This window comes from Homo sapiens, chromosome 11 (genome assembly GCF_000001405.40).
Source record: "Homo sapiens chromosome 11, GRCh38.p14 Primary Assembly".
Classification (NCBI taxonomy): Eukaryota; Metazoa; Chordata; class Mammalia; order Primates; family Hominidae; genus Homo; species Homo sapiens.
The window spans coordinates 76,301,672-76,325,858 of NC_000011.10; the positions used below are offsets into that span (position 1 = coordinate 76,301,672).

Below are 24,187 nucleotides of genomic sequence, written 5' to 3' on the forward strand. Positions count from 1 at the left end.
CCTGTGTCCTGTGGGCTCTTCAGTGACCCCTTTTTGCTAAGAACCTCCAACCCACAATTCATCGGCCTGGGCACGCCTCCTCTTCCTGCTGATGACTTAACCAACCCCACCCTCAAGCCCACCTGATGTCTTCAGTCTTCCCTTCAGCCCCACACAGAGGCTTTCTGTTGGGATTCCCTGATCCTGGCAAGCAGCAGACTCCTCGGACTGGTCCTTGCTGCATGGTTTGAGCCCCACTCCATTCCAGAGTGTCTACTTTGACCGACAGGAAACTTGGCTTTTGCCTGCCAAACTCTGGCAGAGAGGGTTTGCCCCTGCAGCCCCCTCTTCTCTCCCTCCAGCTTCCAGCCTCCAGATGGTGTTTCAAGTGCAAATCAGACATCTGTCCCTCTGCCCCTCAAATCCAGGACTTGCCAGGAAGGGGACAGTCCTTGCACACCAGACCTCTCCTTCCAGTCTCTGCCTCCTTTCATGCTTGGGCTAAAGGTGGTTGCCAGTAATAGAACTGGTTTGGGACCATCCCTTTCTTCTGTCCTACACAGAGACCTTAAAATGTGTGGTGTTGAGCATCCGTGGTGTGCACTTTGGGGCCTCAGCACCTAACACAAAGAAGGAGTCCATAAAGAATCCCAGACCCTTCTCTTCCTAAAACAAGGGGAGATGGGGACTCAAGGGAGGAAACAGAAGAGCAGAAACCGGGGCTACGCAAAGCATCAGGCGGAGCGGGGCACCTCCACAGGCTCCCGGAGACGGACATAAAACCAGGGATTGGGAGAGATCCGTTTTTAATTAAAAAGCCATCAAGGCCCAGGTATAAAGTATCATGACACTAACGGCTCAGGAAATCTGGAACCTTAAATCACAGCAATTTCTCCCCGGAGGGCAGGCCTGGGACCCCCAGGATTAGATAGAGGGCTTGGCGTGTGCCAAGGCAGGAAATGCTGAAGGCGAGTGCAGACTCCTCCCTGCTAAGACATTCAGATACACAGCAGCATGAGAGCTCAGAGGCTTCAGAATCCAGCTGGGTGCCATCATTTCACAAATGGGGAAACTGAGGCCCAGAGTCACACAGAGAGCAGGGGCAAAGCCAGAAGAGGAGCCTGAGCTGGAGGCCTGTCCCTGTGCCAGCCTTGAAATCGCACCCCAGGATGGAGGGCTTTCCACACTCCCCTGCCAGGGTTCTCCAGCAGGCCCTGGGGGAGGAGAACTCTGCCAGGGTCACTGAGCCCAGAGTGTTGAGTTTCTGCAGAGCTGTTGAGTGCTGGTGCTGGATGGGGCTAACCTAGAGATCTTGTAAACAGGGTGAGCCAGCTGTCCCCACAAGTAGAGGCCACCGGCACTCATTATCTAATGTGGTCCTCCCCATCTGCCTGCACCGCCTTCCAATAGGGACTCCCTGGGTAGAGGCACCTTGCCAGCCTCCCTCTACTCCAGCCTCACTTTCACCATCTCTATGCAGAGGAGGTTGAACTGGACCCTCTGTAGAGGCCCTCCCAGTGCTGACAACCTGAGATTCCAGAGTCTATCAGTCTGCTGTTCCATCCCCCAAAGAGTGGTGTTGTGAAGGCAGAAGGCAATCAGCAGGGTGAGGGGAATGATGAATGGAAAGACAGGAAGTATTTTGAGCTCCCAAGGAAAAACTGTAACACCACCCCCAGCCTTGAAGATTGCTCTGTGCCCTCTAATTCTCCAGATTTCCCTCCTCAGGGCCGGCATGAGCCAAAAATCAGACACTTCATTCATTTATCCCACAAGGATTTATTGCTTCCCTGGAATGTTCTGTGCTTCTTCTACAAATCTTAAAATATCTGAGAGCATCTAGCCAAAGTGGACGGGTCTCCCTGCTGCAGCCGAGTGAGACAGGCTGCCAAATAACTACTGACCTCTTTGGCCACCTCAATAGAGATATTGTACCCAAATCCAGGGAGGTGATTTTCTCAATCTGCTCCACACTGACTAGATTCCTAGAGAGTTGTGGTGACCAGTGTGGAAGCATAACTTTGAGTGGAGCTAGACGAGGTGACCAGGGAGGTGGGAGTTCTGGAACCAGAACATGTGGGGAATGTTGAGGTTGCTGGGCCAGGTCAGCCCAGGAGAGGGGTAATCTCAGGGGACAGGGATGCTAGTTCCAAACCTCTCTAGAAGACCTCAGAGACGGCTGGTTCAAGCTCTCCCCGCATAGTCTCCCTGGTTGATAAACCCTTATCCAGCTCACGTTCTTCCTGTGGCAGGGAGCTTCCTTCCACCTGGCAGTTGCTTCCACAGTAAGAAGATGTGGGCTGGTAGAAAGTTCCACTTATAGTCGGGTGTGGTGCCTCACGCCTGTAATTCCAGCACTTTGGGAGGCCAAGGTGGGCAGATTGCCTGAGCTCAGGAGTTCGAGACCAGCCTGGGCAACACGGTGAAACCCTGTCTCTACTAAAATACAAAAACTTAGCCAGTCATGTTGGCATGCGCCTGTAGTCCCAGCTACTCGAGAGGCTGAGCCAGGAGAATTGCTTGAACCCAGGAGGTGGAGGTTGCAGTGAGCTGAGATCATGCCACTATACTCCAGTCTGGGTGACAGAGCAATACTCCATCTCAAAAAAAAAAAAGTTCCACTTATTTGTGGTACCCCCACTGGTTACATCTGTGTTGATCTCTGCCAGATACCAAGCTGGGTGCTTTATCAAACCTTTTACATTTAATTTTCACTGCCCTGAGAAGTAAAACTTATACTCCATTTTCTACAAATTCTGAGGCTCAGACAAGTCAAATAATTCACTCAAAGTCCCACAGCTAATAAGACCAGAACTGGGGCTCAATCTTGTATCTCTCTGGTTCCAAAGCCATTTACATCAGAGTGTTCACTTCTTTCCTGCTTCAACCACATGGAACTTCTTGTCCTTTTCCAAACTCATGATATCCATTCATGAGTCACTGCCTTTGCCTATGAGCTCCTTTTGCCTGGAGTGTCCTCCCTCCATGTCCAGGAGAGAAAAACTTCTATTCTGAGGGTTATGACTTTCTTCACTACTGTTTCACACACACACACACACACACACACCCCTAGCCAAAGTGGGTGGGTCTCCCTGCTGCAACTGAGTGAAAGACAGGCTGCTAAACAACTACTGATCTCTTTGGCCACATCAATAGAGATATTGTACCCAAATCCACGGAGGTGATTTTCTCAATCTACTCCATATTGACTAGATTCCTAGAGAGTGGTGGTGACCAGTGTGGGAGCATAACTTTGAAGTGGAGCCAGAGAAGGTGACCAGGCTCCACTCAAAGTTATGCTACACACACACACACACACACACACACACACACACCATCTGTGCCTATTATGTTTTCTGACACATAGCAGACACTGTCTAATCAATACATGAATGCATCAAAAATTCCAGTCCTCAACTCAACTCTCACCCACTCAGGGAAGTCTCCCCTGCCTCCTGCCTACAGGGGCTGCTGCAGGCCCCCTCCCTGCTCCCACCGTCTCCACCACCACCCGCATCCCTACCCCATACACACCCCCCAGCTGACCACTGGCGTCTCTCCTGACATGGCCTTGGCACGGAGGAGGAACCCAGAAAGGAACGTGGAGTGCACTGTAATGTTAGACCCCTAATAAAACTGAAAGATGACTATATCTAATCCTCTATTGTTACGAAAGAGGAAACTGAGGCCTGGAGAAGGCAGAGTTGGGAGGACAGGAATCCAAGCTCCAAATCCCCATCCTATTAAATGTCCTTACCAAAGAAAGAAAAAGGCCAATCAGATGAAGAGGAGGCCTGTGGGGGCTTAAGGGTCTGAGCTGGCGCTAAGTCCCACCTCGGGTCAGCCATCCCCGTAGTGGAGCTTGTAAGACCTGCCTCTGGGGCCCTGGAGGGGTGAGCTGGGGGTCAGCAGGAGTTACTCAGGCTCCTGCCTCCCCACAGAGGCCTTTTATTTTCCAAGCCAAGTGCCTCCTCCTTGCACTGGCTGGAGGAAAGGCCTCGGTGGGTGCTGAGTGGAAGGCTGAGGTTCAAAGGCTGCCTGTAGCAGGCGCCGGCCCTTAGCTTCCACCATAAATTTACAACCCCCAAATGGCCCTGCATCCTTCAGGGAGGAGGAGAGGTGGCGAAGGCAGGTTTTTCCATGGCTGGCCCCACTGCTCTACAGAGTCAATGACTTGTTGGAAAGTCTGAGTGAGACAAAGTGGTCCATCCATGCTGAGGGAAGTGGTGGGCCTGACCTGGGTGTAAAGGGTCTGCCCGAGGGGCCTCACTTGGGGGCATCTCCGGACAGGCTTATAGCCTGCCCCCATCTAATCAGGCCATTTCCTGCTTAGCACAAGCTCCCACACCCCATAGGATGAAGTTCAAGCCCTGGATCAAGAATCAAAAACCAGGGGTGGGTGGGGTGGAGGAGAGAGGTTAACTCCTTACCTCCAACCCCTGGGGGGCCTCTCTGGGCCCAGAGCCATGTGAGCCTGGCAGAAGCTGCCAATCCTACAGATGGCAGCCAGGATCCCAAAGTGGAGTGTCTGGGCAGCAGCGGAAGTGGGCAGCACAGTCAGATTGATGGATGGTTGCAGGTTGGGGCCCAGCCCCGCTGCCGTGCTCAGCCTGGGACCACCCCTGACACCCTCCTCTGTCTTCCTCACCTTCATGGCCCTCAGAAGCCAGTATCCACACTGGCCTCTGCTTGGTAGGGCAAGACTTCCGCACCAGAAACTGCAGAATCCCTGAGCATCAGATGCAGGAGGGGCCCGGGGTCCCTGACACCATGTCTTGCCTTTTGCAGAATGGGCAACTGAGGTTGAGAGAAAGGAAATAACTTGTCCCAGGCCAGCAGCTGAGTCACGACCAAGGCACTTCGTTCTTCATCTAGTGCGGCCTGTGCAGGTGAGTGATGACCCAGCCCAGGCTAGGGACTGGGACAGAGTCACAGCAGGAGAGCTGCCGGCAACTCTCAAATTATCTCACCTCCCCTGATGCCACCTTCATGCCAGGCCTGGCCTGGCCCTGGGGCCTGGTGCTGATGGTATCTGCCTCTGCCCTCCTAGTCATTTCCTGGCAAGACAGACCACCACATTCTGAGTGCTAAGTGCAGGGGTGGGGAGAGGATCGAGTGCTGTCTAGGGAAAGTGAGGAAGAGGAGGTCCTAAGCAGGGGAACAGCACGGGCAAAGGCCGTGCCCAGCTGGGGAGCTGCAGGTGGATTCGGTCTCTCTAGAATATAGGGTGGGAGTCAGGTGGAAGGAAGATAACCAGGAGATGAAGCACGAGAGCCAGGTGAGTGAGGCTTTGTGAGCCGCATTAAGCAGGTGGGCTTTATCCTGAGCCTGGGAAGGGTTCGAGGACGTCCTCACAGCCAGCTGCAGCAGAGTCACCTGTGGCCCAGGTGCCCAGCTCTCCCCTGCACCTGCCCACTCAGCAGAAAGACCCATGGGTCCCCTTACTGGGGAAAGTGAGGCACTGAGGTCTGGCCATGAGCCAAGGCCACCCCAAATGACCTTGTCAAGTTTCCTCCCTGGAACCTTGGGAAACTTGTTCTTAGCCAGGCCTGCCAGACCTCACCTCGAACCAGGAATCAGCTTCCTCAAGTCTTTATTTAATTAAGGTAATTTTCTCCCAACCTGCACATCAGACTGAAAACAAAACAACAGCCTAGGCCTTTCCCTCCGCTGCTGGGGACTGGCTTTCCCACCAGGAGGGCGCAGCCTCCACATTAACCTCCCCAAGGCCTGGGCCTGGCCCAGGGTAGGTGGGTCAGGCCGGCCCCCCCATGGCCAAGGAGGGGGCTGGAGCATAGTGTCCATATAAATTAATTTAATTGGGCCCTATTATCACTTTGCTCCAAGCCTGCAAGCCTAATCTAGCGTTGAAGTAATTCATTGGGTGTGAAGTGTCCTGGAGCCAAGACTTCCCTCTGCTCACGGAACAAACCTCTCCACGCTTGGCCCAGGCCCTGGGCCACTGCAGCCTAGCTCAGCAGAGGGGCTGTGTGGGGAGCAGGGCGGGCGGGGGAGGCATTAAAATAGCTCTTTGCCTTGGCTACATCCCCTGACTTTCCCAGAAGGAGGCTCTAGCCCACACCCCACCTCCCAACACACACACAGCCACATGTCAGGGTGACGGTCGGACCCTCACGGACCTAGAAGATGGCTGAAGAGGTCCAATGAGACCTGGGTGAACCCCCAAATACTCCAAAATTTTGGACAAGTATTTTTTCGCCTTTCTCTGCCTCAATTTCCCTTCTTGCAAAATTTTCTGGCTTCTCCCTTTAGTAGCTATGTGACCTTATGCAAGTTATAAGACTCAGTTTCCTCATCTATGAAACACAGAATCCAATAATGACCATCTTATAATGCTACTGGAAGGGCTGAATACATTAATATGCATAAGGTGATCTGAACTATGCCTGGCATACAGTAAGCACTGCATAAATGTTTGCTCATTCCTATTGTGAGATGTGGGTGGGATGGGAGCAGAGAGCCCTCTGTGCAACTGTGATTGCTGAGGCCAAGGTACACATTGTCATTATAATTTCAGAGAAGTAGGAGGGTGTGGGACGGTGTGGTTCCCACGGAAGTTCTCTCCCAGGATTAGGGCCCCTGAGAGCTGAGAGAATGCAAGTTGCCCAGCACAGTGTTGTTATGATTAGATTTGCATAACTTATGGTGCAATTATTTGTACCCTGATGCCAAGCTCATTAAGCAGTCAGGCACCATGAACCCACTGGTTGAGGCCCAATCTGAAGGGGAGACGTGGCTTGGGGGCTCTAGGGGGCCCTGCTCTGGGGGCAGAAGAGGACACTCATGCTTGAATGCAAGTGTGCATACCACATACCCACAGGGGGCCCAGGCACTGCCCGGGTCTCATCAGGAACAGGTAAGGGCCATAGGCCCTAAAACGATTAGGGAGGCTGAGGATTTACTGGTCTGCCTGCCCATTCCTTTACCCCTCCTGAAATACCAGCTGACTTTTGCAGGGCTTTTGTGCTCCAGAGCCTGGGCCTGTGTTAACCCCTGCCATCTGAGCCATGCAGCATCATGAAAGACAGCATCGATTAGCACTACTCCTAGTATTAACACCCATTTAATGGCTTTAGCACCCAGGCCAGTCTCCGGGGAGGTTAATGGGCAACACAGTGAGACCCCCATCTCTACAAAAACTTTTTAAAAATTAGGCACGAGGCTGGGTGCAGTGGCTCATGCCTGTAATCCCAGCACTTTGGGAGGCTGAGGCGGGCGGATCACAAGGTCAGGAGATGGAGACCATCCTGGCTAACACGGTGAAACTCTGTCTCTACTAAAAATACAAAAAATTAGCCGGGCATGGTGGCATGTGCCTATAGTCCCAGCTACTCAGGAAGCTGAGGCAGGAGAATCGCTTGAACTCAGGAGGCGGAGCTTGCAGTGAGCCAAGATCGTGCCACTGCACTCCAGTCTGGGCAAGACTCCGTCTAAAAAAAAAAAAAAAATTAGGCAAAATGCTGCATGCCTGTAGTCCCAGCTACTCAGGAGGCTGAGGCAAGAGGATCACTTGAGCCCAGGAGTTTGAGGCTGCAGTGAGCCATGATCATGTCACTGCATTCCAGCCTGGGTGACAGAGCGAGACCCTTTCTTTTAAAAATGAACAAATAAAAAATAAATATAAATATAAAATTAATCCCCATTTAATGGATGGGGAAAGTGAGGGTTGGTTGGTCCAACCAAAATTTCTCCCTAATAAGCACAAAAGTGAAACCAAAGGCTTCTCCCCACTGTTATTTACTCCCCAGTTCAGAGATCATAGGATACGCGTCCTATCATTTGTGGAAATAGCTGGGAAACAGCAAAGGAATCCTGGGCTGGGAGTTGGTAAATCTGAGTGAGTCCTTTCACCTCTCTGGCTTCAATCTCCCCATCAGAGCCATGGGAGTGATAATCTCTTTCCCACTGGGCCGCTGTGCAAATTGGATGGGCTCAGGGACTTACAACACCCCTATGCGGGGCTTGGCACCCACTAGGTGCCCACAAGACAAAATAGCATCTGAATTCAGCCCCAGAAACACTAAACCAGGAGAATACTCAAGTGGCTCCTGACACACCCCAACCTCTGGAAGAAAAGGCTTCTTGGTCAGAAACCATTGCCTTCTGCATGTCGCCTGTCACCTATAAGGAGACTCCCCACATGTTGCCAGACAGGGTAGAACGCAAGTTGCCCAGTGCACTGTGAAGTGAGCATCCCAGCTTCACTACCCGAGGTGAAACCTTCCTTGTTCTGTAGCCAATGGTGCAATTATTTGTAACCCAGTGGCTGGGAGGTGGAGGGTGGCTCTGCTCCTCCTTCCCCTCTCCTCCCTCAACACCCAGGGCTCAGCAAAATCCAGGCGGAGCAGGTCAGGCAAGATTCACCCAGGGCGCTGTGGCAGAAGCAGCTGTAACCCGCTCCATCTCCAAAACACCCCCAAGTGCAGACCAGAGATGGCCTGGCTGAAACAGGGCTGAGAGGCATCCTCTACACCCTCCCTGAGGGCTGCCAGCGCCCTGGAAAAGTGGTGGCAGCTCACATCTCAAGTCAGGGACTCTCCCCCGACCTCACTCCCATTCTCCACCTTGAATTCTCTCCCTCCTGGGATCCTCCCATCAACACTTATCAGCTGGATATCACCGTGCAAGTCACTAGAGCTTTTCAAGCCTCCATGTCCTCATCTTTAAAATGGGCTAAGAAACTATCCCTCCTGCCAGGCGCGGTGGCTTACACCTGTAATCCCGGCACCTTGGGAGGCCAACACGGGTGGATCACCTGAGGTCAGGAGTCCGAGACCAGCCTGGCCAACATGTCAAAGCCCCATCTCTATTAAAAGTACAAAAATTAGCCGGGCGTGGTGGCGGATGCCTGTGATCCCAGCTATTCGGGAGGTTGAGGCACGAGAATTGCTTGAACCTGGGAGGTGGAGGTTGCAGTGAGCCAAGATCACGCCACTGCACACTCTAGCCTGGGCAATAGAGTGAGACTCTATCTCAAAAAACAAAAAAAAAAATTGTCTCTCCTCACAGAGTTGTGAGAACGACCTGCAGTGTAAGTAAAGCACCTGAGGAAGTGCTTGGCAAACAGTAACAGAGGGCTGGGGAGCTGGGGGTTTTGTTTTGTTTTGTTGTTTAGCCTGTCTAACCCACAGTCCTGGGAATGGCAGGCCCAGCTCTGCTCACTTGTCTTCCCCCTCAATCATACCACTTACATCACCTGCCGGCTCTTGGCCAGTACCCAGGCTGTGCCTCTGAAGGGCACGGGGGCCAGGGATGCTACCAGGGGCCGAATCATGAGGACAGCTCTGATTCGGGGGGGCCTGAGAGCCCCCACACTCTATACACAATGGTATGGCCCCCAGAGGCAGCATTTGCAGTGCCCCTCCATGTACCAGGTGAGGCCAAGTACCAGACCTGGCAGAGGAACCAGCCCTCGCTGCTCCTCCAATGCACCCCCACGGTGCTGGATTATTGAATTCTCTGGAGTACCCCTCAGCCTCTCCAGTGCTCAGCTGCCTCCACGGCTCCCCACGGGGAAAGCAGGTGCCAAAGGAGGAGAAGTTTGGAAGCAGAGAGATAATTATAAGGCTGATGGGTGAGCCGTATGATGACAGGAAAGCCTGTGACTCCTGTGAGCCTCAGTTTCCCCACATGCCACGCATGGGTGATGACACATGCCTCCCATGTGCGATGCTAGGCCTTCCAGGTCCCTCTTCAGAAATGAAGTGCTGGGAGTGCAGGAAGACAGCCCCCAGCTGTCAGCACTTCGGCAAAATCAGCTCTGCTGAAGAAAGCTGCCTTGGCCAAGATCACTCCCTCTTCTAGGGGCAGCTTCCACCAATGACTGACCAGCTTGCAGGGAGGGGAGACCCAGCCCCTCACCTCAAACTGGGGCAACTCTGAGTCTTGTCTCAGGTCCAGAGCTCCCGCAGGGGCCAGCTGAGGCCTTCATACGACTATCACAGCCTCCTGCTTCCTCCCCTCCCTTTAGTAGGGATGATTCCAGGGACACCCCTCATCAGCCAGCCAGGAGCTGCCTCTCAGGGAAGCCAATCTGTGATCAATGCCATGTGAGAAGTGGCAAATACTTGTCCCAGTTTGTCTCTATTTCCTGGGCATTTCTCTGCCAACATGAGCCTCCCTCATTGGGATCCAGGCTCCCTGAGGGCCAGGACCCTGCTTATTTTTGTTCATCACTGTATTTTCATGCCAGGTAGATGGTAGGCACTTAACAAATGTGGACAGAAAGAAAACAGGCAGGAAATGGAGATCTTAGGATGATTTTTTTTTTCTTTTCGAGTCGGGGTCTTGCTCTGTCGCCCAGGCTGGAGTGCAGTGGTGCGATCTCAGCTCACTGCAACCTCTGCCTCCCAGGTTAAAGTGATTCTCCTGCCTCAGCCTCCCAAATAGCTGAGATCGCAGGCGCCCACCACCACCGAGTAGCTGAGATCACAGGTGCCCACCACCACACCCGGCTAATTTTTGTATTTTTAGTAGAGATGGGGTTTCGCCATGTTTGCCAGGCTGGTCTTGAACTCCTGACCTCATGATCCACCTGCCTCGGCCTCCCAAAGTGCTGGGATTACAGGCGTGAGCAACTGCGCCCGGCCAAGGATGGTCTTAAGGGAGGAAGGAAGGCAGTCAGAAGGGACACAGGAGAACCCACTAGACTCAGGTTCAGGTGAGAATAACCCCAGGATAGTGCTGTTCAAACTGAGAGCTGATGGGAGGGAAGACACTGGCCAGCGGTGGCCGCCGTGAGGAGCGGACGGAGGGGCAAAAGGACATATTCTTCCAGGCACAGGCAAAGGCTCTGAAGCAGGAGTTTGAGGAGCTGAAAGAAGGCTGGGTGTAAAGCCCAGGGGGGTCACGAGATGAGGCCGGAGAGGTGGGCACAGCTGGACACTGCCCCATGGAACATGGCCTGAGCCTCGAGGCAATGGGAGCCTGAGAGTTTTAAGCAGAGAGAGACAGGGTTTGGTCTGCGTTTGGAAAGATCTTGTTGCCACTGTGGAGGAGGGGTGAGAGGAGACTGTCACGGTCCAGTGTGACTGTGCTTCCATGACTGTGACGATGGTGGAGACGGGAGAATTGGCAACAGCAGCTTATTTGGAGGCAGTATCCTCAGATTTTTACTGCTTGCTTGTTTGGGTGTCAAGGGTGAGTGAGAGGAGAGAGGAATCTAGGAAGATGTGTAGATTTTAAGCCCTGGATGGATCATGGGGTCATTTACTGACCTGGGGAAACCTGAGAGAGAAGCAAGTAGCGGGTAGGGTGGGGGACAGATCAAGTGTTCTAGTTGGAGAAACCTATGGGACACCCAAAGGGCAAAGTCAGGGCGTCTGTGAGATATAAGGTCTGGACCTGGGAAGAAGTGCCCAGGTTGAGGACTGAGATGTGAGGGCAGCTTGGAGGTGGATTGTGAGTCTTTGAAGGGAGGACCCCGTGGGAGTCTGCTCAGCAGTCCCACATAGCCTAGGCCTGGGACAGAGACCATGCTGGGTAAATGTTTGCTGGCTGGATAGGTGTGTGGATGGACGAATGAATGGATGGTGGGGGATGGATGGAAGAATGGGGGGATGGATGGGGGGTTGGAGGGATGTGGGGATGGATAGACGGATGGATGGATAGATGACTGATGGTGGATGGATGAACTAACAAATAGATGTGTCCTCCCCTGTACATCCATGGGTTCCCTAAGGGTAGAGACTGGGCCCTCTCTTGATGCCCACAGCGCAACCCAGGCCTGAAAAATAACCAGTGCACAGAATGCTCCTCTTGCTACCACTTTCACTGTGAGGGTGATGGAGCAAGAGTGAAGAGGAAGTGGGGAGGAACAAGGGACAGCCAGGCCCCTCACTCTACAGACAGAGAGCTGAGGCCAGAGAGAAGCGGAGCCAGGGCCCGGCTCCCAGCTGGTGCCTTTTCCATAGTGCCCAGCAGCACCTCCACCTCTCCAGGCACCTTCAGGAGTACCAGGCAACAGCTATCCCCCTGAAACAGATAAAGAAACTGAGGCCCAGAGGAAATCACCCACTTGCCCAAATTCATACCTCGAGATAGCACTAGGGATTAAAATAAACCAGTTTGGAGTTTAAGACTTGAGTCCAGATTCCCAGCTGGGGCACCAGTCACTGGGCACTCGGGGCTGTTCCAGCCCCTCCCTCCATGGGTCTCACTTTCCTCAGTAACAGAGTAATGATGGGGAGTCCAGCCCTCTGGGGTGTGGGGTGGCTGGGCTGGGTGTGGCACAGGCTTGGAAACCTGCAGAGCATTGTAGAGGCTTTTTGATCCTGTGGGTGGATTGCAGGGCTCGGCCCCCAACTCTGGCCCCCAGCAAGTCCTGGCTGATGTCAGCAGGTCTGCTGGCCAAGCTAGCTTGCTTGGGGCAGAGAGATGAGAGCTAAGATGGAGCGTTTCTGAGATGAGGCAATGCGACGGACGCAGTGTGAAGGGAATGCAATTTGACGGGCCCTTCCTCCACCCTCGGTAGGCGGGGCTCAGGCTGAGGGGACAAGCACAGGGAGGCAGCTTCAAGCTGAGCATCTGCCAGTGGCGCTTAGCCCCTCCCTCGTTACCTGTTTCTCAGGGGCAGCTGAAGGGTCCCATGGCCACAGAGCACAGACCGGGCATGTGAAACCAGAGTGGAATGGGGCTTTGCCAGCTGGTGGCAGAACTGAAGCCCAAGGCTTGCAGGCTAGGGATATTTGCACTGCTTGTTTTATTTATTCATTCATTCATTCATTCATTCATTCATTCATTCAACAACCTTTCCTTCTGGCCCTGTCATGGGAGCTGCAGACTCGGAGAGGAATCAAACAACCCCCTGCCTTCAGGAACTCCTGGTCTGGTGGGGGAACAACCACATAACTAGTTGATGACAACATGGAACTTGTGTCACAACAATTCACAAGGGCTGGGGAGCCCAGAGCAGGGCCCAATCCAGGCTCCAGTGCAAGGAAGCTTCCTGAAGGAGGCTGAGTCGTAGGAGAAGAGGGGCTCCAGGGCTACATCCCAGCAGGGCAGGGAGTACAGAGAGATGACAGGAACTCGCAGAGGGGACACCCTCCGCTAACTAATTCAGGCCCCACCCTAATCCCCAGTTGTCTTCCCGCTTCTCAGATTTGCTTCGCCTACATCTCAAAGGTGGTGGGAACAAGCATGCTCTGCCCACAGGTACCCGAGCGGAGCCTCCCCTCACATCAGCAGCTCTCTCCACACAGTGTGGTTTCCAACAGGGCCAGTGCTGAATGCCAAGAAGGGCAGGTCATCTCAGCAGCTCCCAGTCCTAAGAACTAGTTCATTTGCTCACAACAAGTATTGACTGAGTCACTACTATGTGTTAGTTATTCTTACCAGTTAGAGTCACTTTAAGAAAAAAAAAAATGAATGAATATTGCTTCCCTATGCATGAATAAGGACAGCTTAGGAAAAGGTGAGAAACTGGATTCTGAAAGACATTCAAGTGCTGATTCCACTTTTAGTGGCTTGGCAATTCAGGATCTCAGCTGGTTGATGGGGATGGTAACACCTCACGGAGCGGCTATGAGGACTCTGGTGGAGGAGGGCTTTACACCACGCAGGGGCTCAGTAAAAGTGTATCTCCTCTCATGAGCAGCACCCTCCCCACACCTCCCTGGGCAGGGAGTGGGAGTTTCAGGGATGAGGCAGGACCAGAGGCAGCAGGAGAGGCTCTGGGGCATGCTAATACTTGCCTGACTTCCCCACTCAAGCTGGGATGATGCTTTACCCTTCGTGTTCCCTGGCGTGAGTTGGCGGTACCATCCCAGGGGCCAATCTGACTTTTCCCACCAGGAAACCAGCAGGGACTCTCACTGAAGCCCACAGCTAAGGACCAGTGCCAGAGGCCCTGCTGTTCAGAACTGGGTGGTGCTTGGAAGAGTCACCCTGCCCTGAGACTGAAGACCCAGGGGAAAGGTTTACCCTCCAGAAGTGGCTGGACCCCTTGGCTGAGTCAAGGAGAAGCCCCGACCACAACCCCAAGGGACCCGTAAGAGGTAGCCTCCCAGCAAGAGGCTGACCTCACCAAGTGGTGTGATGCTGGCAGGGGTGGTAATAGGAAGGTGGGCATCAGATTGCACTGGGCATCACCACCAAGCAGACACTCTCCAGCAACTCCCCACACTGTCCTGCCCCAAACACACCCCCAAGAAGGATGGCTGCAGCTAGGCCACAGGGTAGACTAAAGGAAGTTCTTTAGCATGCTCACCCGGAAGGCAACCTGAGTGCTCCCTCCTGGGAATAAAGATGAAGCTGCAGGCTGGGCATGGTGGCTCACGCCTATAATCCCAGCACTTTGGGAGGCCGAGGCGGGTGGATCACTTGAGGTCAGGAGTTTAAGACCAGCCTGGTGAACGTGGTGAAACCCAGTCTCTACTAAAAATACAAAAATTAGTTGAGTATGATGGTGGGTGCCTGTAATCCCAGCCACCCAGAAGGCTGAGGCAGGAGAATCACTTGAACCCAGGAGGCAAAAGTTGCAGTGAGCCAAGATAGCGCCACTGCACTCCAGTCTGGTGATAGAGCAAGACTCTGTCTCAAAAGAAAAAAAAGATGGGCCAGGCGCAGTGGCTCAAGCCTGTAATCCCAGCACTTTGGGAGGCTGAGGCGGGTGGATCACGAGGTTAGGAGTTGAAGACCAGCCTGGCCAACATGGCGAAACCCCATCTCTACTAAAAATACAAAAATTAGCCAGGCGTGGTGGCAGGTGCCTGTAATCACAGTTGCTTGGGAGGCTGAGGCGGAGAACTGCTTGAACCTGGGAGGCGGAGATTGCAGTGAGCCGAGATCGCACCACTGCACTCCAGTCTGGGCGACAGAGCGAGACTCTGTTTCAAAAAAAAAAAAAAAAGAAGAAGAAGCTGCAGCTGCCCAGCCAAAGAGGCTGCACCAAATGACCACCAAAGGGCTCCCTAAAGGATCTGAACACTTGCCTTGGAAGAACAGGAGGGAGTGTGCTTTGTGCCGTAACCAAGTCAGACTTTTCAGGAGTTCTTGGTTCTGGGCCTGTGTTCGTTGTGGGATGTGGGCAGGCCCAACCCTTTCTGAGCCTGAGACACCAAGGGCCCTTCTACCTTTGACTTCTATGTAGCATCAAAACTGGGCACCCAAATACAGAGGCCCCTTGGGGGACTTCAGGCTAAAATTTCCCTTATTGATGCCTAGAGAGGAACAGGGATAAGATCAAGGTCATGCAGCAAGTTGAGGACACTCCCATCATTGGTACAGTGACCTAGAATCCTGAGTCCACTCTGCTGGCCTCTGCGTTTGCCCTTCCATGCTCCTGGGTTTTTCTGCAACAAATATTTGCAGTTTGTTACCATGGTTTTTTGTTTTGTTTTGTTTTTTTCTGAGGCAGAGTTACTCTGTCACCCAAGGTGGAGTGTAGTGGTGCAATCTTGGCTCACTGCAGCCTCGACCCGCCAGGCTCAAGCAATCCTCCCACCTCAGTAGCTGGGACTACAGGTGCATGCCACTGCTCCCAGGTAAATTTTGCATTTTTAGTAGAGATGGGGTTTTGCCATGTTGGCCAGGCTGGTCTCCAACTCCTGGGCTTAAGCGATCCGCCCACCTCAGCCTCCCAAAGTGCTGGGATTACAGGCATGAGCCACTGCACCCAGCTCGTTACCACATTCTGCCCACCTATCTTCATGGGCAGCCCATCACTGCTTACTTCTTGCTTCCAGGCACCCAGCCTACTGACCACAGGGCCCCTTGAAAGGCCTTGGTATTAACATTTTGGCCGGGCCTGATCCCAGACCATGTGCTGCTTGCCCCACTGGGCCTTGCCTCTCCCTGGATCACTGGGTCGGCCTCTTGGCTGGCCTCCAGCTGCTGGTCTCTACCTCACAGCAGCCACAGAAGTGCTTCTGGTACTCAAGTCTGCCCAGGTCCCTGCCTGACTTGGAACAACTGGAGACTTCCCATGCTCTAAAACAGGGAGGGAACCTGACTTCTTGAGGGCGCAGGCACCTGAGTGGCCTCCTGATAGCTCCACATTAGCTTTGCTCAGACCCTGGGAGATTTGGCCGCTGCTGCCCTGTAGCTCCTGGGAGCAGTCTCACCATGCTGAGCCCATCCCTTTAGCTGCCTGTGGCCTTGCTATGCCAGGCAGCCTGATGAGCCTGGTTTCTATCACTCTCTTGCTGTGTGACTTTAGGCAAGTCACCTCTCCTCTCTGTGCTTCACTCTCTTCTGCAAAACAGAGTTAGTAATTCCAGTGTGACCCCACCAAGCTGTTGTTAGGATTTCGAGGCTGTGCATGGAAGTACCAGCACGGTGCCTGGCCCATTGCGGTGTACCGTGATCTGGTAAGGATGCTCTCAGAGTGCACCTGTCATTCAGTCATTCATCCAAAAGGACAGCACAAAGCTCCCATGGGGGCCAAGCCCCGTGCCACGGGGAGCAATGTGAATCAGGTGCCAGAGTCCCCACCCTGAAGGCGCTCTGGGTGATTCAGCAGAGAAGATGGGTGCAGGGACCCTCAGTCACACAGTGTGGTCACAGCTGTGGCAGCCCAGAAGGGGCACCTAAGCCCCCATACCTTGGAGGACCCCACTGAGTCATGGAAGGTGAGAAAGAGTGCGACATTAGGATCGGCATGGATAAGTCATGACGGCCAGGGTGAGCAGGGGCCTGGGAGCCCAGAGCAGATCTGCATCTGCTAAGCAGCATTTAGGGATGATGGGGGGCAGGGAAGGGTTTAACGGAGTGGGGGTGGTGATCGCTGGATCTGTGTGTGAGGGAAAATCCCTGGGCTGGGTGGGGGATGGATGGGGTGGGGAAAGGTATGGGCAGGCATGGAAGAGACAACACAGCCATCTGTGAGGAGGCTGGGACAGTGGTCCAGGCCAGGTAGATGGTGGGAACCGAGAGGAGAGGGGGCAATGGGGAGGGCAAGAGGAGGCAAACGGGAGGGATTTAGGAGAGGGAAGGGATGGGATGAACTCCCACATCAGGCACTGGAACCACCCCTGAGCTACTAACCCATTCAGTGACTCAGGCAAGCCCCTCCCCCTTGGGGGCCTCAGTTTACCTACATGTGAAATAGGACATGGGCCAGAAAATCCCTGGAGGCCCTCTCTACTCACACATCCTGTGGCTCTGTAAAGCAAGTGGCCTTCCCTGCTTCTGGAGGAGGAGGAGCAAAGCCCATCCCCACCCTACCCCTCCAAGCCTCATCCCTGGAGATGGGGCCCAAGCCCCAGGGCCAAGTGGGACAAGGGGTCTGACCCACTTAGGTGAGGGCAGGTAGCAGCGCCCTGGAGGCTGCATACACAGAGCTGCAGCGCCACCTACTGTCCATGTGGGAAGAGGCCACCAGTCCCAGGAGCCCGGCTCTGACCTAAATAAATCCCAGTGGACTGAAGCACAGCTAAGAGTTCCTACCTGGGCCCACTGGCCCAGTTCCCTCCCCGCCACCCCCAGGTCTCTCCAGATGGCTCGATGAATGCAAGATGCTTCCTTCTGTAATGGATTCTGACCACATCATTCTCTTGCTCAGAAACCTTTCATGGTTCCTCACTGCCCTTGGAGTCCATGCTTGCTCCTTAGTTGGCATTCAAGGCTCTTCCCATCCGGGCCTCTGCTGACCTCTGATGCCCCATTTCCTATACAGCAAAATACTCACCAGCTCCTTAAACGTTCCATACTTTCCCCAGTCTTGTGGCTTTGTATTAGGTTGGTGCAAAATTGCAATTTTTGCCTTTAGTCAACAGCAAAAACCACAATTACTTTTGCACCGACCAATATATATTCTTTTTTTTTGTGTTGAAACAGAGTCTTGCTCTGTCGCCCAGGCTGGAGTGCAATGATGTGATCTCAGCTCACTGCAACCTCCACCTCCCAGGTTCAAGCAATTCTCCTGCCTCAGCCTCCCGAGTAGCTGGGATTACGGGCACACCTCACCACGCCCAGCTAATTTTTGTATTTTTAGTAGAGACGAGGTTTCACCATGTTGGTCAGGCTGGTCTCGAACTCCTAACCTCGTGATCCACCCACCTCGGCCTCCCAAAGTGCTGGGGTAACAGGCGTGAGCCACTGCGCCTGGCCCCCGATATATATTCTTGCCTCTGCTTGAAATAACTTTCTCTGCCTTCTTGGCTTAAAAACCAGTGCAGGCCAGGCGTGGTGGCTCACACCTGTAATTCCAGCACTTTGGGAGGCCGAGGAGGGTGGATCACTTGAGGCCAGGAGTTCGAGACCAGCCTGGTCAACATGGTGAAACCCTGTCTCTACTAAAACAACAAAAATTAGCCAGGGGTGGTGGCACATGCCTGTAGTCCCAGCTGCTCTGAGGTTGAGCAAAAGAATTGCGTAAACTGGGAGGTGGAGATTGCAGTGAGCCGATATGGTGCCACTGCACTCCACCCTGGGCAACAGAGCAAGACTCCATCTCAAACAAAACAAAAAGTGCCAGTGCAAAGTCACCTCCTCCATGAGTTGCCTTCCTCAATATACCTTTCTCCCCAAGTTCACTACTGGGCACACAGCCTGCTCTCGATAAAAGTTCAATCCCATCTTCCTCTGGGTCCCCATAGTTCCTGTGCTGTCCTTTATCCCTGCATAGGCCAGGAATGTTTCTGTACCCATCTCTTGCCCTCCCCAGGCTCTGAGCTCAAGGGAAGAGACTGTGTGTGACCCATTGCTTCTCAGCATAAGGTCTGGTGTTCAATACATTTGCATTTATTAAGCATCTACTATGTGCCATTAGACTAGATGTTTTCCCGTGCTTTACCTCATTATAGACTTAAGTCACCTGTGTTGAACATGGGAGTCTTGACCACTTTGTTCCTGCTCTTCCTGTCAGCCAAAATGCCTTCCCATGAGCTTGCCACATAACCATGGGTGGCTCACTGGACTTTCATCTGGGCAAAGAGAAGGGTGTGCTGACACTACTCATGGCTCCTTCATCTGGGACCTACCCAAATCCCGTGGCTTTGCTCACAATCATCTGATCCTGTTGTGCCCAAGATGCCTGCTCCCATGCCTGGATACCTGCTGCAGCTGCTCCAAGCCAGGACCCTGCCAATCTGTCATTTTAGATCTTCAGCTCTGGGTTGGTCTTCCAGGTGCCTCTGCCTCCCAAGGAAACCCAAGGAACTCCGCCAGAAAGGGAATGCCTAAAAGAGCAGCAGTGGGGACTGTAGGGGTCCTCCTGCCTGCCCCTTTGTTATCCAGAGTGGGGCCCTGACTTGCCTGAAGTCACACAGGGACTCCGGTATTCCAATCCTCGGCCTTAAGATCGCTGCTATCCGGTTACTTCTATCTAAAAGCCCTAGAGAAGTTTCGGGAGACACTCAAAGGGCCCTTGTCTGGTTTCCAGGCTGACCAACTCTAATGGAGAAAAAGCTCACTCACTAAGCATACATCAAATGCCAGGCGTATAGAATCCTTCAGTGGAGGGATCATTCTCCCCATTTTACAGAGGAATAAAGTGAGGCTCAGAGTGAATGAAAGACTTTCCCAGGTCACATGTCTGCAGTAGAACTGGGGTTCTCGGGTGGCCTTGATCACCATGCTCGGCTCCCTTGAAGGCTGACGCACACAAATTAATTCCAAAGACAAGGCAGCAAATAACCAGATACAGGCTTTGGCGTTCTGAGACCCTGAGGGAGCAGGGAAGACTTCCTGGAGGTGGTGAGTGGGGCACTGAGAGAGGCCTTGGAAGAGGGTCCAAGCTGGACTAACGAGGAAGGAGGAGGGTTGGCAGGAGGGAGACATTCCCACTCCCGTCACCTGGGTGCAGGCACTGTGACTTCTGCCTACAGCCTCCTCACCCATCCCCTGCCACTCCCCCAGTCCCCCCCCGCCCCCCCCCGACACCAGCCAGAGTGGCCTTCCCGGAAAGCAAATGACTGGCCAGTCAGGGTCCTGCTTACAATCCCTCAGAGTCGCCCATCCTCCAGCATGGTTTGCCAAGGACCTGCTCGGGACTGGCTCTCCCCACTCTCTCCAGCCCCATCTTGAGCCACTACACCTTGAATTCAGCGTTTCAACAACACACAGTATTTGGAATTTCTCCAACTGCCCCCCTGTTGGTCTTTGCATATTCTGTTCCCTCTGTCCATCATATCCGTTCATCTTTCAGAGCTTAGCTGAAATCCCTCCAGGACGCCTTCCCTGAGCCCCGGATTGAGTGGGGTGCCCTCCCCCAGCTCCCACCCTGGGTCTGTGTCTGCCTGCCCTGCCCATGCCCGCCCCACAAGGCCCACGCTTGCGCCCTCGGGCTGCGCAGGGCGAGGGTTTGGGGGCGCGGTACTGACGGGTGTCCAGGCCTCTCCTCGAAGGGTTCCGCGCGCAGAAAGGTGGGCCGGGGCCAGAAGACGCGCTGGAAAGGCGTTTTCTGCCCCCTCCGGGCCTCGGGAATATTTGTGGGCTGCCGGCGGGGCAGGCGGGGTGGGGGAGGCTGCCCGGCGGGCGGGAAGCCCCGCGCACTCGGGTCCCCTGCGGTCCCCGGCGGGGGTCGGCGCGTGCGGAAAGCGGCCCGAGCCCCCAACCTCGGCCCGTCCGCAACCGAAGAGGAGGCGACCGCAGCCTGGAAAAGAAGAGCCCCCAGCTGTTTCCTTCCACCCGGGCGGGCGGGACGGAGAAGGGAGGGAGCCTGGGAGAGACGCAGGTGTGGCGCTCGCCTGTGCTGGCGGGGTGGCAGCCGGGGCGTGGCACCCTCGGAGTCTCGACTCTGCCCACTTCTCAGGCAGAAAACTGAGGTGGTCCCATGGCCAGAGCTAAGAAAGGCAGTGCTGATTCCTGGGCCCCCGCTGCTCACAGCGTCCTTCAGCATCCCAGTAGGCCGAGGGCATCTCACTCTTAGGTGACCACAAGAATCACGGGGACAGTTGTTAAAATGCAGATTTCAAGGCCCCATCTCCCAGAGACGCAGTAGGTCTGAGATGGGACCCAGAAATCAGCTCTTTAAAACAAGGAAATAGTCCACATGTTGTGAAGCACTGGTGAAGAGATGCTTTGGAATAGGAAGCTTCCCCCTCGGCCTAGTTACAGCAGAGAGCAGAGAGCGAGGACTCGGAAGGGAGGGACTTGGACCCTGAAGCCCAGGCTTTCCTGCTGGGTGACTAACTTCTCTGTGTCTTGATTTTATCTTGCCTAAAGTGGAGATAACATTCAGCCCACAAGGTTCTGTAAAATCAAAGAGATGTGAGTAAAAGTGCTTTACTAACTTCACCACCACCATCATTATTATTCACTGTCACCGCCCATCCCCTAGGCAAGGAAAGAAGCCATCCTGAACCTGTGGGGTGATGAGCTCAGATGCTACCACCTCTGCAAAGGCAGCCCTGGTCATTTGGGAGGAAGCCCTCTTTCCTCTGAACTGAACACCACTCCTTCACCCCCATTTGGTGCTCCTTGTACGTGCCCAGGGCTGACTGCAGTACCATGTGCCATTTTTTCACCAAAATATGAGCTCTACCTTTGGGGCTCCTCAAAGTCAGCAATTATGTCAGAAGGGCTGCATGGTAGAGACCTGAGTTTAAGTCTCAGGTCTGTCATTTACTGAGAGATCTTGAAACCGCCTTTGTAAAATTATGACTGAGACAGTGAAAGAGATCTAACTTAACTGACTCCATTTTGCTTCTAACCTCCAAGCTGTCCTTGTTCATTCCTAAGCATAGATTGAACTATCTTTGGGAGAAATTTAGTTTATAGTTTATTGTTTAAACAAAGATGGTAACAGACCTTTCCCAAAGCAGACCTCCTTCTTGCCTGGGGACTAGATTGCTTTGGCAGGTCTAACATTAGCCACAAGATAAGGAATTATATGCAGCTGGAGGATACAAGATTCTGACCCTCTCTAACCTGCTCTAAGATCAGTGCTTGAGATGTTTCACAGGCCCTGCACTTGATGGATCAGCTGGCACCACCCAGATCAATAAACTGGCTCATCTGATCTTGTGGCCCCCACCCAGGAACTGACTCAGCGCAAGAAGACAGCTTCCACTCCCTGTGATTTCATCTCTGACCAATCAGCACTCCTGGCACACTGTCTTCCCCCCACCCACCAAGTTATCCTTCAAAACTCTGCTCCCCAATGCCTGGGGAGACTGATTTGAGTAATAATAAAACTCTGGTCTCCCGCACAGCCAGCTCTGCATGAATTACTCTTTCTCTATTGCAATTCCCCTGTCTTGAAGAATCGGCTCTGTCCAGGCAGTGGGCAAGGTGAACCCCTTGGACTGTTACAATCTCAGTAAATGTAAACTGTCAGTTTACTGAGATCTCTCAGTAAACTGCCCCCGTTATTCTTGGGGCCACCAAAGAGTGAGCTGCCCTTGGCCTACTGTGATGCCAAAGGGCGCCGTGAGCAGCGGGGGCCCAGGAATCAGCACCGCCTTTCTTAGCTCTGGCCATGGGACCACCTCAGTTTTCCACCTGTGAAGTGGTCAGGAAGGCTGTGGGATCTTGATCAGTGCATCCACCTCTCCAAAAGTCTATCACTTTAGAGTGTAAAGGTTTAAATGGAATAATGTCTATAAAGTACTGTAATGTCTATCACTCAGTTGGCCTAACTTGAATAAAACAAATACAAGCTGGGCAGTCTGAGGAAGGCATCGCAAGGAGTGGCTTTTGACCTGGGCTTTTAGAGCCAGGAGTCTTAATAGGTAAAGAACTGGTGGGGAAGGGCCCCTCTAGGCCCTTTTCCATATTCTGGTTACAGTCTCTGTTAATGTTTATAACTTTAAACAGAGACTTCCTGCTCTGAAATGTGTTGTTACTGCCCATTTAAAAATTGAACTAGAATAAAGATAGCAAGCGGAACTCGCACTATGGTCTTCCCTGAAACCAACTAAAACAACACTAAAGGGATTTATCATAATATTGGAAACCAGACACAGCCAACAAAGAATGGTAATTGATTAAATCCTAAAAGGCAATAAAGAAAGTTGAAAATCAGCCCAATTTACACTGTTAAACCCCCAAATGGTTCAGGAGTTGGTTGTACCAGGTACCTCTGGAAAGTGGGTGGGTCGGAGGTGGGCGGGGTGGAGGCTAAAAACAGAAAGATTGCTTGGAAAACAATCAGACTTCCAGATACTCTCTCTCCTGGCAAAATACTAATACTCCAGACAGGATACACAGAATGCTTCAGGCAGGAGATTGGAGGAGCTTTTCTTTTGACTAGCACAAAATAAAAGACATGGAATGGCCCAATCATGTGCACAGCCCCAATCATGTTCAGAGGGTATCAAATCTGTTTTAGTGTCTCATTCTTAAATATGAGCAGACAGCAAAGGATGAGTAAGCATTTGAGAAAAGCCTCTAATTAAAAAAGAAGTCAAAAGAATAGGGGGAAACAACAAAGGAACTTAGAAGCTGGCAACTTTGCAAAAAGCTGAAAACTTAAAACTATAATTAACATCCTAAGAAATAAGATATTGCTGCAAAATGGGGAAATGTCTCCAAAATTCTGAAGAAAGTTATATTTCCATCCCAGAAAGTTATATTTCCACCCAGCCAACTGATGATCAAGGGTGAAGAGAGAATACATTTCTAGTCATGTGAATTATCTTTGCATGTTTCCTGAGGAAGCTTCTGGAGGATGTGCTTCAACAGAAGTGAGGGAGTTAACCAAGAAAGAGGAAAACATGGCATCCAAGGAAAAGAAAATGTAACAAAGGATAGGGGCAAAGGAATCCCCAGGCCATTCTATTCTATTGTGCAATAGAAGACAATTCATCCTAATGGGACATGGTGGAAGACTCTGGGAGGGACTTCTTCAGGAAGATGAAATCAGTAGACTAGCCAATGCATTTAAACATATTGAAAGGAGATATGCATAACCACAATTGTTATGCAGGGAAGGAAAAATAATTATAGAATACTACACGGCCCAGTTGTCAATAGCATTTACGTAGCCTAATAATGAAAACATGAATACTGTTCCAATCAAACTTGTGATACTAGGTGGAAGTAGGGAGACACAAAATGTACATGTGAGTGTGGAGAAAGTAAGGGGAAAGAGAGAGAGAAAGAGAAAGAAACTGAAAAATCAAGAAGTAGTAGTATAAGCAAATAATTTAGAGTCAAAAGCAGTGACACAGAGAGACTGCTCAATAAAATATTTGCTGAATGCATGAATGGTCAACACCTAGTGAGGGCCAGGCACATATTTATTGAGCATAATAGTACTTAAGACTTACTGAACAGAAAGGGTCTTCTTCCTTAGAATCAC

General features: G+C 52.5%; 1 long non-coding RNA gene across 4 annotated transcripts in view, besides 4 other annotated features; it reads left to right on the plus strand.

The window, feature by feature from the left end:
• Window positions 1-18,988, plus strand: part of LOC105369395 (uncharacterized) — a 36,263-nt gene extending 17,275 nt beyond the window's left edge. For all 4 annotated transcript variants that reach the window (XR_950328.3, XR_950329.3, XR_950333.3 and 1 more), the window contains exons 4-5: window positions 4,768-4,868; window positions 18,809-18,988. This is a non-coding gene — a long non-coding RNA (uncharacterized LOC105369395). The remainder of the gene's footprint in view (window positions 1-4,767; window positions 4,869-18,808) is intronic.
• Window positions 3,473-4,094: an enhancer, noted in NCBI's record as "H3K27ac-H3K4me1 hESC enhancer chr11:76016188-76016809 (GRCh37/hg19 assembly coordinates)". NCBI's record gives its function as "activates a minimal SCP1, AML or CMV promoter by ChIP-STARR-seq in primed H9 embryonic stem cells {active_cell/tissue: H9 hESC(primed)}" and the evidence as "EXISTENCE:reporter gene assay evidence [ECO:0000049][PMID:30033119]".
• Window positions 12,375-12,924: an enhancer, noted in NCBI's record as "H3K4me1 hESC enhancer chr11:76025090-76025639 (GRCh37/hg19 assembly coordinates)". NCBI's record gives its function as "activates a minimal SCP1, AML or CMV promoter by ChIP-STARR-seq in naive H9 embryonic stem cells {active_cell/tissue: H9 hESC(naive)}" and the evidence as "EXISTENCE:reporter gene assay evidence [ECO:0000049][PMID:30033119]".
• Window positions 13,076-13,254: a silencer, noted in NCBI's record as "fragment chr11:76025791-76025969 (GRCh37/hg19 assembly coordinates)". NCBI's record gives its function as "represses an EF-1alpha promoter that drives an FKBP-Casp9 reporter gene in an ReSE screen in HepG2 liver carcinoma cells {active_cell/tissue: HepG2}" and the evidence as "EXISTENCE:reporter gene assay evidence [ECO:0000049][PMID:32094911]".
• Window positions 17,398-17,457: an enhancer, noted in NCBI's record as "active region_5287". NCBI's record gives its function as "activates an Ori minimal core promoter by ATAC-STARR-seq in GM12878 lymphoblastoid cells {active_cell/tissue: GM12878}" and the evidence as "EXISTENCE:reporter gene assay evidence [ECO:0000049][PMID:35858748]".
• Window positions 18,989-24,187: the final 5,199 nt, after the last annotated feature.